At 41.2% G+C, this 12,340-nt stretch overlaps 1 protein-coding gene and 1 long non-coding RNA gene across 45 annotated transcripts in view; one reads left to right on the top strand and one right to left on the bottom strand.

The window, feature by feature from the left end:
- Positions 1–12,340, bottom strand: part of SIRT5 (sirtuin 5) — a 40,885-nt gene that overhangs the window by 6,541 nt on the left and 22,004 nt on the right. For 19 of the 43 annotated variants that reach the window (NR_164854.1, NR_164852.1, NM_001376798.1 and 16 more), the window contains 3 exons: positions 11,602–11,655; positions 9,463–9,586; positions 7,669–7,784 (listed from right to left, as the gene is read on the bottom strand). Coding sequence is in view for 39 of the 43 variants with exons in the window: in NM_001376798.1 (NP_001363727.1) it covers positions 7,669–7,784; positions 9,463–9,586; positions 11,602–11,655 (294 nt within the window). In the remaining 4 variants the exon portion in view is untranslated. Of the gene's footprint in view, positions 1–2,878; positions 4,143–6,980; positions 7,538–7,668; positions 7,785–9,462; positions 9,587–10,753; positions 10,891–11,601; positions 11,656–12,340 lie in introns of those variants that run through there. The other 24 variants (NR_164853.1, NM_001376809.1, XM_047418527.1 and 21 more) reach the window with 7 other exon arrangements.
- LOC105374938 (uncharacterized) lies at positions 24–9,588 on the top strand. Of its 2 annotated transcripts, XR_001743983.2 has the most exons (3): positions 835–1,563; positions 2,017–2,187; positions 8,977–9,588. It is a non-coding gene; the product is annotated as an uncharacterized LOC105374938 (long non-coding RNA). The 2 variants fall into 2 exon arrangements; XR_007059460.1 differs by having other exon boundaries at positions 24–2,187.

The raw sequence follows: 12,340 nt of genomic DNA, 5'->3' as shown, positions 1-12,340 counted from the left end.
TTTTCTTTCTCTCTCTCTTTTTTTTTTTTTTTAAGACAGAGTCTCACTGTGTCACCCAGGCCGGAGTGCAGTGGCACGATCTTGGCTCACTGCAACTTCTGCCTCCCAGGCTCAAGGGATTCTCCCACCTCAGCCTCCCAAGTAGCCGGGATTACAGGTGTGGACCACCACGCCTGGCTAGTTTTTGTATTTTTAGTAGAGATGGGGTTTCGCCATGTTGGCCAGGCTGGTCCTGAACTCCTGGCCTCAAGTGATCCTCCAGCCTCAGCCTCCCAAAGTGCTGGGATTACAGGCATAAGCCATTGTACCTGGCCAGTAAAAGATTTTCATGCATAAAAATATATTACATTAGTATAAATTCTGTAGTAGTGATAGAATGGAAATACAAGTTCAAAGAGAAAAGAAAAAATGCAAAGTTTCCAATTGTTAAGGAAGGGCTTGTATATTTATTTTGTAAATGGATGGTGGTATGTACCAGATAGTTATAACATTCAGATTGGACTGGATACATTTTAAACAATGATATGGTAGTTTTTATTTTAAAATGTCAGTGTTTCAGCCAGGCACAGTGGCTCACACCTGTAATCCCAGCACTTTTAGGAGCTTGAGCTAGGCAGATTGCCTGATGTCAGTAGTTTGAGACCAGCCTGGGCAATGTGGTGAAAACCCGTCTCTACTAAAAAAAAAATACAAAAAATTAGCTGGGTGTGGTGGCGCACGCCTGTAGTCCTAGCTGCTTGGGAGGCTGAGGCAGGAGAATTGCTTGAACCAGGGAGGCGGAGGTTGCAGTGAGTCGAGATCGTGCCACTGCAGTCCAGCCTGGGCAACAGAGCCAGACTCTGTCTCAAACATCAATAAATAAATAAAATGGCAGTGTTTCCAATGCACTTGGAATCACATCTCCAACTATATTTGATTTAAAAAACCTTAGATGTCAACTTTTAAAATGGGAAAGGCAAACATGAACAGTGTTTGAAAGCCTCTTTCTAGCACACCTGTGCACTCTGCTGGCCCCCACCAGTTGTAGGACAACCACGACTACAGTGTTAGCTGCACATCTGCTCACGCCACTTGCATTGGTTAATGTAATCATCCTGCTGCATTTAAAATTACGTAATAAACTGCAAAAATAGAGCTGTTAAGAGAGTTATTTCTAGGAAAACTAGTTGAATGCTTGGGAAAGACATACTGAGTCACTAAATATAATTTGGTTAAATTAGGTGTAGGTGTAAAAGATGGGGGAAGACTGCTTCACATGTTTCTTTTCCTAAGTTCTTGCTCTCCTTTAAAAGAAAAAAAAAAAACAGACAAATATCAAAAACCAGAAGTTGTAATCCAGTGTTTGCCAAGGTTTCTTGGTAAGAATTACCTGGGTCATTTGCTAACTACACAGATAAACAGGCATCTTCCCCCTAGAAATTCTGATTCAGGAAGTCTAGGTGGGGGCCTTGGGATCTGATTTTCCTGGTTGTCTGTTTTGTTTTATAAAATAAGGGCTGGAGTCATTCGTATCTTCAGGGGTATTTGGGGAACACGAGGAAGATTATGGATACGACAAGAAAGGTGAGCTCCAATCAGCAGATCCCTACTCAAACAAAAGGCCTTTAGCTCTATTCCAAAAAAAAAAAAAAAAGCAGGCCAAGTGTGTTGGCTCACGCCTGTAATCCCAGCACTTCGGGAGGCTAAGGCAGGTGGATCTCTTGAGGCCAGGAGTTTGAGACCTGTCTGACCAACATGGTGAAATCCCGTCTCTACTAAAAATACAAAAATTAGCCAGGTGTGGTGGTGCACGCCTGTAATCCCAGCTACTCGGGAGGCTTAGGTGGGAGGACTGCTTGAGCCCGGGAGGCAAAGTTTCCAGTAAACCAAGATTGCGCCACTGCACTCCAGCCTGGGCAACAGAGCAAGACTCTGTCTTAAAACAAAACAAAACAAAAAACAAACAAAAAGCAAATGAAGGTAGATTTATGCTTTATATCAAAATGTTTAAAGTATGTATGTGTCCTTTTCTATTAGTCTTGTTTTCAGTGGCTTTTTGAATGAACAGACCAACTAAGCCCTGACTGCATGGACTAGGAGGGCTTCCCTACCCGCCCTTGACAGCACAGCCAGGGAGAGCGCTGGACTTCCCTAACACACACGGTCAACTATCGCTTCAAAGCAGTGACCTCTTCACACCCTAGATAGGTAACTATATAACCACAACAATCTATAAAACTCTTCTACCTAACAATTCCTTAGACTTCTAAACTCCAACAGCAGGTAGCTTGGGTGTCTTCCCTCCCCAGAGCCCCCAACTCCATTACTTTACTGCTCGCCTCTCCTGGGACTTCCTCACTCCACTCCAGCCACACTGAGGGGCCTCTGCTCCAGGTGGTCCCAGTGTCTGAAAAGCTCTTATCCCAGATTATGTCTTCGGCTGCCTCCTTCACCTCCTTCAAGTCTTTGCTCCAATCTCTTCTTAATGAGGTTTGTGCATCTTTACTTTGTGCAGTCTCTTAGCACCTGCTCACGTGCTGTAGAATGTGTACCTTATGTTCACTGCTTACCTGTCTGCCTCAACCACTAGAATATAATCTTTCCTTGGTAGATATTTGTTTTGTTTACTGATATATCCTATCTTAAGCACTTAGAAAAGTGTCTGATACATAGTGGATACTTACAAATATTTGTGGACTTTAATTAAATTCCAACATTTAGAGAAATTTAAAGATCAACAGGGCACAACATAGTGGCTGCAGGGCACAGTGGGCCAAAGGTGCTTTGAAGGCCCTGGCCACCAGCTCCCTGCAGCGACAGTCCCATTTTTGCCTCAGCGAATGTACAAATCCTACAAGCCAAGGCCCCCTGGGGTTGAGTAACAGTCAAAACACTGAGGTTTAAATTCAAAAATGCCTAGGGTTTATTGGAATAGTCAGGGTTTATCAGAAATCATCCAATATAAGCATCGGACATGGGGAAAACGACAAAACCAAAACTGGAACTAATTAACACCTTGAAAATAGAAATACATTCCTGTGGGAGGAGAATTCTATGCCTTTGTCACTAGATTAGAACTGGGGCAAAGAATCTGAACAACTTGTGTAAGGCCTAAGGTGTCTTGTGAGATCCAAATCCTTATTAAAATATAGGCAGCATTCTAGCTGCCTATTTAGGTAACAAAGAAAATCAGGTTAAAAGTAGCAGAGAACATTATTCCATTTTTTTTTTCTCCGTAACCTAGAGCAGGGGTTAGAAAACTTTTTCTGTAAAGGGCCACACAGGACATATTTTAGGCTTTGCAGACCAGCCAGTCTCTGTTGCAACTATTCACCTCTGTCATCCTAATGCAAAAGCAGCCACACACAATATACAAACATATGGCCACAGCTGTGTTCCAATGAAACCTTATTTACAGATACAGGTGGTGGGCAAATTTGGCCCACAGGCAGTAGTTTGCTGACCCCTGACCTAGGGTAAAGTTCAACCAAAATCTGTTAAGCACGAGATATACAATTCTGCCATTGTTAAGCTCTGTGTTTAAACAGTCCTCTCAATTGCTCCAGGGTTGGTTTCTGCCTTTGAAAAATTGAGTAGGATGAGATGACTATCACCAGCATCTCTTCTAAATGTCAGCTTTGATGATGCCAAGAAAAAAGCATTGCTGGCTTCATTGATCAGTTACTCCTTCATTGATGAGATGACAGTTCTTGTGGTCAGTCTGGTTGATAAGTAGCTTGCCAAATTGATAAGAATTTCTAACTAGCAAGTAGCCTGTTTGTTAGAGACAATCATAGGTTTTCAAGACAATATGAAGCTGAAGAATTTTGGCTGAAGTAGCAGCTGAAACAGGTCTGTGGTTTTAGGAGGCTTGACTTGAGCAGTGATATATATTACATGCCAAGAATCTCTCCTGAACTGGCAGGAAAAACCACCAAGTTCAGTTTCTTTCACATGAAGACACAGCCACCATATCCAAGGGATGCTGGGCCCCTGCTGCTCAGTCCATGGCATGGGAGGTGGGGGCCAACTCTAAACTTGGGTTGTGGAAATACTCCAGTTTTATTTTCTTCTTTTTCTCTATCTGCATTTTCTTGCTTTTCTACAATGATGACTTGTTTTAATTCTTTATAATAATTAGAGATGAGATGGAGATCAAATGACTGAAAAGAAACCACATTAGAAGAACCAAACTGGGGACATAGCTCAGGTCCTGCTTCACAAAGTTTATCCTGTCCCACTCTTCGAGTTTTCTGATGGTCTTTCAAACAGACAGGAGGCTTGAGCTGCCTAGCTCCGGTATTACTACGCTTAGTCATGCTAAGTGGCCCAGCTGCTCCACATAGGTGCCACAACACAAATCAGACGGAGGCTCAATGTGCATTTTTCAGGAGATAAGTTAGAAGATCATTTAACTTTTTATCTAACAGCTTTATTGAGATTTGATTCACATACAATCCACCTATTTCAAATATATAATTCAGTGGCTTTTAGTGTATTCACAGAATTATACAACCATCACCACAATCAACTTTAGAGCATTTTTAACAACCTCAAAGAAACTTGTTCTCATTAGCACCCACTCCCAATTCCTCCCTACTCCCAGCCAAAACAACCACTCATCTACCTTCTCTCTATTGATCTGCCTATTCTAGATATTTCGTATAAATGAAGTCATACCATATATGGTCTTTTATGACTGGCTTCTTTCACTTAGCATAACGTTTTCAAGGGTCATCCATGTAGTAGCATGTATGGATATCTCGTTCTTTTTATGGCTAAAATATAGTCCATTGTACAAACATACCAAATTTTATTTATTCATCCTTCAGTCGATGGACGTTTGGGTTGTTTCTACTTTTTCCATTAACAAGTTGCTATGAACATTTGTGTACAGATTTTTGTGTAGATGTATGATTTCATTTCTAGGACTATATACCAAGGAGTAGAATTGCTAGATCATATAGTAACCCTATATTTAAATGCCACATTGTTTTCTAAAATGACTGCGCCATTGTACATTCTCATCAGCCATGTATGAGGGTTCCAATTTCCTCACCAACACTTGTGATTTTCCTTTATCTTAAAAATTATAGCCACGCTTGTGGCTGTGAAGTGGTATCTCACTGTGGTTTTGCTACTGAACATCATTTCAATATGCTTATTGGCCATGTGTATATATTTGGAGAAATGTCTTTTCAAATATTTTGACCTGGTTTTTAATTGGATTGTCTTTTTATTATTTATAGTTGTAAGAGTTCTTTATATATCCTGGATACAAATCCCTTATCAAATATCAAATATTAGACTTACAAATATTTTCTCCGATTCTATGGGTTGTCTTTTTTTTTTTTTTTTTTTTGAGACGGAGTCTGGCTCTGTCGCCCAGGCTGGAGTGCAGTGGCGCGATCTCGGCTCACTGCAAGCTCCACCTCCCGGGTTCACGCCATTCTCCAGCCTCAGCCTCCCGAGTAGCTGGGACTACAGACGCCCACCACCACGCCCGGCTAATTTTTTGTATTTTTAGTAGAGACGGGGTTTCACCGTGTTAACCAGGATGGTCTCGATCTCCTGACCTCATGATCCACCTGCCTCGGCCTCCCAAAGTGCTGGGATTACAGGCGTGAGCCACCGCACCCGGCCTGTGGGTTGTCTTTTTACTTAATCGATGGTACCCATTGGAATACAGAAGTTTTAAATTTTGATAAAGTCCAATTTATCCATTTTTCTTATGTTACTTGCTCTTTTGGTGTCATATCTAAGAAAGCTTTAACCCAAGGTTACAAAGATTTACTCCTACATTTTCTTTTGACATTTTATACTTTTAGCTCTTACATTTAGGTCTATGATCCATTTTGGGTTATTTTTTGTAATGGTGTGACAGAGGGGTCCAAGCTTATTCTTTTGCATGTGGGTATCCAGCACTATTTCTTGAAAAAGACTGTATTTCATCAAATTGTCTTGCCACTCTTTTCAAAAATCAGTTGACCATGAATGTGAGGTTTGTTTTATTGTTCTGTTTTGTTTTGTTTTTTACTGGACTCTCAATTCTACTCCACTGATTCTATATATCTATCCTATGCCAGTGCCACACTGTCTTGATTACTGCAACTTTGTAGTAAGTTTTTTTTTTTTTTTGAGACGGAGTTTTACTCTTGTTGCCCAGGCTGGAGTGCAATGGCACAATCTCGGCTCACTGCAACCTCCCCCTCCCAGGTTCAAGCGATTCTCCTGCCTCAGCCTCCCAAGTAGCTGGGATTACAGGCATGTGCCATCATGCCTAGTTAATACATAGTAAGTTTTGAAATTGGGAAGTATGAGTTCTCCAACTTCATTTTTCATTTTGTTTTGGCTATTTTGGGTCCCTTGCATTTTCATATGAATTTTAGATTAATCTTTTCAATTAATTGCTGTCAAAAGCCAGTTGTGATTTTGATAGGGACTGAGTTGATTGAGCCCATAGATCAATTTGGGGAGCATTGCCATCTTAATCATATTAAGTTGTCCAATCCATGAACACTGGATATGTTTCCATTCATTTAGGCCTTCCTTATTTCTTTCAATAATGTTCTGTAGTTTTCAGAGTATAAGTTTTGCATAGGAGGCAATTTTTTTTTAAGGCTATCTTCTTAGTTCCTACTACTCACACACAGATGAAGAACTATGGATCAAGAACACAGGCTGTAGCTGATCAAAAAGACACATGGAAAAGAAGAGGCTCAGAGCCAGTTCACTCACTTGAGGAGGGGCCTACTGAAGTGTCTGTGGCCCCTTTTCTTTCTTTTTTCTTTTTTTTTTTTAAATCCCAGCAAAGACTTAGAAGAGTGGTTCCTATCCTGGCTGCACACAGGAATCACCTAGGAAGCTTATCAAAATGATGATGTCTGGGCTGCAACTCAGAGCAATGACATCGAAATTTCATGAGGTGGCACCCAGGCATCAGTATTTTTAAAATATGCAGCCAAGGTTGGAAACTGTTGATTAAAGTAATGACAAGATGGTTCAATGAAGTTTTCTATTTTATTCATTTATATTAATTTACTACTTATTTATATTCTAACTTATTCAAAAGGAATTAACTAGATGGACAAGAATTAGAGGTAAAAGCAAAAAAAAGTTGGGGTGAGAAAAAAGACAGAACATGGATGAAGAAATAAAACAGACCCAGGAATAAGACTAAAAATGCATACTATGACAATCTACACTTCCCACCCAAACTTGGGAAGCAGGATCAGTGTCATAATATGGCCACAGATACAAATAACCTTGGCGATTAGACCAAAGGGGTATCTGCCAGGTGGCCTCCCAGTAAGAACGGCAGGTGATGAGGTTCTGCAAGGGCATCTCCCAGGCTTACTTGCGGAGCATTTGGGTAACCTACAACTACAGGTCATCACTAAGTCTAGCTTAAAAATGTAAGGGAAAGCAAAGCCTAAGGAATCCAAGAAGAGCGTTCAAAATGTGAACAAACAAAAGTCCCACGGCAAATTTCGCATACAATGACAGAGCTACCCTACCTTAGTCTACAGTGAATGATTTTGTTCTTCCATAAAAGCAACTGCAGATCAAACAAAAAAACACAAACCCTATGTCTTTTTTAAAAATTAGAGGAGTAGGTCAACTATGTTTAGATGACCATGTCTGTACCTGCCTCCCACATCTCCCTCTCCCATCAGGGTATCCCAGTACCTGAATCTGTTCGTAGCTGGGGTGGTCTCCGTGTTAAATTCAGCCACTGGCACGCCCCTGGCAGCCACCTGGGGGGCAAACATGGCTGCTGGGTACACCACAGAGGAAGTGCCCACCTACAAGGCAAGTACACGGAGATGAACAAACAGCCAGACGACAAGGAGAAGGAACATTATTTCAGAAAACCTTACACAAACTCAGGCAGGTCTGTGGTTGCAGGTGTGAGAAAAGCCAAACAGGATGGGATAAAACAGGGTGTCCAAGGGACAAGGGAAAGTGAAGAGGTGTCCTTTGATCAATCACTAGAATCGAGAAGAATATGTGACATGAAAAGGAGAGTTATGCAAAGAGTGACATAGAAGTGACTCAATCAACATGTTTTGGGGTTAATTCTGGTTTTGTTTCTGCTTTTTAAAGTTAAACAAATGATCCATAACTTTTTAAAACATATTTTCTATCTTTTTGTTTAAGGTAGAAAATACGAAGAAAAAAACATACATATCATCCATAATCTTACCGCAAGATAACCACTGTTAACATTTTCATGTATGTCCTCTTAGGTTTTCTCTTATAAATATTTGCTTATAAACATTCTTTACAGGGATGGGAAGAGCATGACCTGTTTTGTAAACCGGCTTTTCTCATTTAACAATCCATCATCAACAGTGGCACTATACTCAACACTGGGAAGCATTCTTTAAATACTGGCTGAATGAATACGCACCACAAGAAAGTGCCTCTGCTTTTAAAGACGTGTCAAGAAAAATTTGAAATACGCATACAATCTGTCCAATGAATCCCACTTTTAGGAAATGTGTCCTAAGGAAATCATTTGAAGAGCATGCTAAGATTTCTATCTAAGGATATTCACGATATCATTGATTAAACTATCAAAATTTGAAATAGCCCAAATGTCTTACAGTAGAGAATTAGCTAAATATATCATTCCTTATCCATATATAACACCATACAGTCAATTGAAAGATGATATTGATTTAGACATATTGATATGGAACATGCTAAGTGAACTGCTGCGTGAACAAAGTAGTTTCAAAACAGAACATATGTCATGAACTCAGTTTTGAATTTTAATTAATACGTGTACATCTGCATAAGAAAAGGTTTAGACCAGAGGTGGGCAAACTTATTCTGAAAATGACCATACAGTAAATTTTTCAGGCTTTGCAGGCCATTCAATCTCTGTCACAAGTACTCAACTCTGCCACTTGTAGTTTGAAAGTAGTCATAGACAGTGTGTGGAAGAATGAGTGTGGCTGAGTTCCAATAAAACTTTATTTCCAAAAACAGGTAGCAGGCCCAATGTGGCCCAAAGGCTGCTGTTTGCTCACTCCTGGGTCTAGAAGAAAACATACTAAACTGCTAACGGTAACTATTTCTGGATAGCAGAACTATGGGCGATTTCTAATTTCCTCTTTATAATGTGATAATTTTTGCATGTTCTCAATTAAATTTAATCATAAGCATGTATTATTTAAAAAACCAATAGCATGTTCTTTTCTTTGTTTTTGGTGGGGCTGGGGGAGGAGGCTTTGAGATGCCCAAGACATGCATGGTTTCCTATTTTAATACAAATTCTTATTCATTGTTTCTCAGTTTTTCTATAGGATACCACAAAGACCTCTCAACATACATTTGAAGGAAAGGAAGAAATGGAGGGAGGAGAGAAGGCGGGAAGGAAAGAAGCAAGGGAGGGAGGAAGGAAAAGAGGAGAGGGGGAAGGAAAAAATAACAAACTCCAGTCCTGTCCTGGGGTTAGGGAAGGGCATGACCCACCACTAGACATAAATCACAGTGGGCGAGCTCTCTGTCAACCTCCTCCAGAATGGCAGGATCCAGGTTTTCTCCAAACCACACGACGTGAGGTCGCAGCAAGCCCCCGCAGCCTGCCTCTTCACACCTGGAAGAATGGGATCCTTAAGCCAACCCCGAGCCAAGTCTGCCCAGCTGGATCGGAGGGAGGCCAGGGGCTGCCCCAAACCTAGTACATCCAGATGGGTCACCTCTGATGCCTCTTATTCCCTACACCCTCCCTCCCAGCCTATATAAACTTGCCTTGCTTATGAAGCATCAGGTTTAATGGTCTTTTTTTTTTTTTTTTTTTTTGAGACGGAGTCTCACTCTGCTGCCCAGGCGGAAGTGCAATGCCATGGTCTCCGCTCACTGCAACCTCTGCCTCCCAGGTTCAAGCAATTCTGCCTCAGCCTCCCGAGCAGCTGGGACTACAGTCATGTGTGACCACACCCAGCTAATTTTCGTATTCTTAGTAGAGACATGTTTCACCACATTCGCCGGGCTGGTCTCAAACTGCTGACCTCAGGTGATCTGCCCTCCTCGGCCTCCCAAAGTGCTGGGATTACAGGCATGAGCCACCGCGCCCTGCAGAACTGTCCTTATTTTTTATCTTGTCTGTATGTACTTGATGTGCTGACACATTGTTTCAGCTAAGCTTTCCCAGTTCATTCATTATGCTCACATTTGTGCTCACAGCCACCCAGACCTGGGAGACATACTGGACTCAGATTTGCCTCCCACCCCAAGCATCCCCTAATTTCATCAATGACCTCCTTTCATGTTCTCTCAGGTTCATGTCTCTCTGGCCCAGTATGTAGCCAGCTTTCCTGTGTCCATTACTAAAAATCTCTCTTCTTTCACTCCCTCCTACCTCAGGGTTACCTTCTATACACCTCCTAAAACCATCCCCCAAACACCATTTTCATCATAGTAATCTCCTGCATCACAGGAATCCTCCAGGTCTACCTATTCCTTCAGAAGAAAACTTTTAATATTTAGCAATTAAAACCCTCATGAGGAAAATTTAAAAGGTTCTGTGGTTAAATAAGCCAGTAAAGCATTAACATACGTATTACAACCACTTTTTAGAAGGCAGCAATGTGGATTAAATGCTCTAAAAAGTCCTGCAGTAAAGCAAACATATTTTAACTTTGTTTAGTCTAACATTTCCATATTTATTTGAGTGCCTAACATGTTTTTTTCAAGTAATGTCTCAACGTAACATTAAATTAATGTTCTATGAAACACTTTTAGAAGTGCTGTTTTATTTTACCTTAAAAACACTCTAATCCAGCCGGGTGCAGTGGTTCACGCCTGTAATCCCAGCATGTTGGGAGGCTGAGGCGGGTGGATCATCTGAGGTCAAGAGCTCGAGACCAGCCTGGCCAACATGGCGAAACCTCATCCCTGCTAAAAACACAAAAAATAGCCAGGCGTGGTGGCGGGCGCCTATAATCCCAGCTACTCGGGAGGCTGAGGCAGAAGAATCACTTCAACCCAGGAGGTGGAGGTTGCAGTGAGCCAAGATCGTACCATTGCACTCCAGCCTGGGTGACAGAGTGAGATTCCATCTCAAAAAAAAATAAAATAAAATAAACACAACAAAAAAACTTCTAATCCAATTACAGGTTATAGAAGTGCTGTTTTAATGCCTGGTTTTGAAAAATTGGCATAAAAATCTTCCTTTTTTTTTTTTTTTTTTTTAATCTATGAACATTCTGTTTGGTCCTGTAACCTCTCCTATTCAGGTCCTTTCATTGCCTCCCTAACCCTGGATTAATAATGCCAGTGATGTTATTTGACCAGTTACAGGTCAGCCCCTATGCTTTCTGTACACTGGGTAACCACCTGTCGCACGACAGCTTCAGAAACTTTCCCGACCTCAAATGATCCTACCACAACACAAAGCAAAAAGAGGTTGGAAAAAAATCATTCTTTTCATCCTAATTTGGTTCATCCTTTGTCCTTTCACTTTTGGTCTCAGAGATCAAGCCTGGTTTTTACATTTGTGCATTTGATTTAAGAGGCGTCTTGCCAAATACATGTTTAGGTTTTGATGTCTGTTTTTTTTTTTGTTTTGGTAACCTGGAACACCAGTACAAATCAGAGTTTTCTACCTACCGGGGAAGTTTCTCAACTGGGATGCTGGCATCTTGAGTTCCAGGTTCTGGAGCACTGAAGTAAATAATATTAGAAAAGAAAGATTGTTATTGGCATAATAAAAAATAAAGAAACAACATAACTCAGTTTGTATATTTGCCTGGCAGTATGTGGTATAAAACTCCTAATTAATACATGCTCACTTGGAAGGGCATTAGAAGGAAGGACCCCAAGCCATTAATTACCAGTGGTGCTGGGCACAGTGGCTCATGCCTGTAATCCCAGCATTTGGTGAGGCCAAAGTGGGAGGACTGCTTGAGGCCAGAAGTTCAAGACAACCCTCGGCAATACAGTAAGACTGCATTTCTACCAGAAATACAAAAATTAGCTGAGTGTGGTGATGTGTGCCTATAGTCCTAGCTACTTGGGAGGCTGAGGCAGGAGGATTGCTCGAGCCCAGGAGTTGGAGGCTGCAGTAAGGTGTGATTGTGCCACTGTACTCCAGCCTGGGAAACAGAGCAAGAACCTGTCTCAGAAAAAAAAAAATCACCAGTGGTTGTACTGCCAGTGAGGGAATGCATGTGTGGGGAGGGCTGGAGTGGCTGGGTGTGCCAAGGGGGAACTTCATGTTTACCTTTATACATCATCATCATCATCATTTGTATCCTCTGCAATGACATTATATAGTCCTTATACAATTTATACTGTTTTTAAAAGGCTGAGTGGAATTTTTCTCAATATTGTGTCTACCCTCAAATTT

The sequence above is a fragment of the Homo sapiens genome, chromosome 6, assembly GCF_000001405.40.
Source record: "Homo sapiens chromosome 6, GRCh38.p14 Primary Assembly".
NCBI lineage: Eukaryota > Metazoa > Chordata > Mammalia > Primates > Hominidae > Homo > Homo sapiens.
Note: the sequence above shows the minus strand (reverse complement) of the source record. Positions and strands in the feature narration are given on the sequence as shown.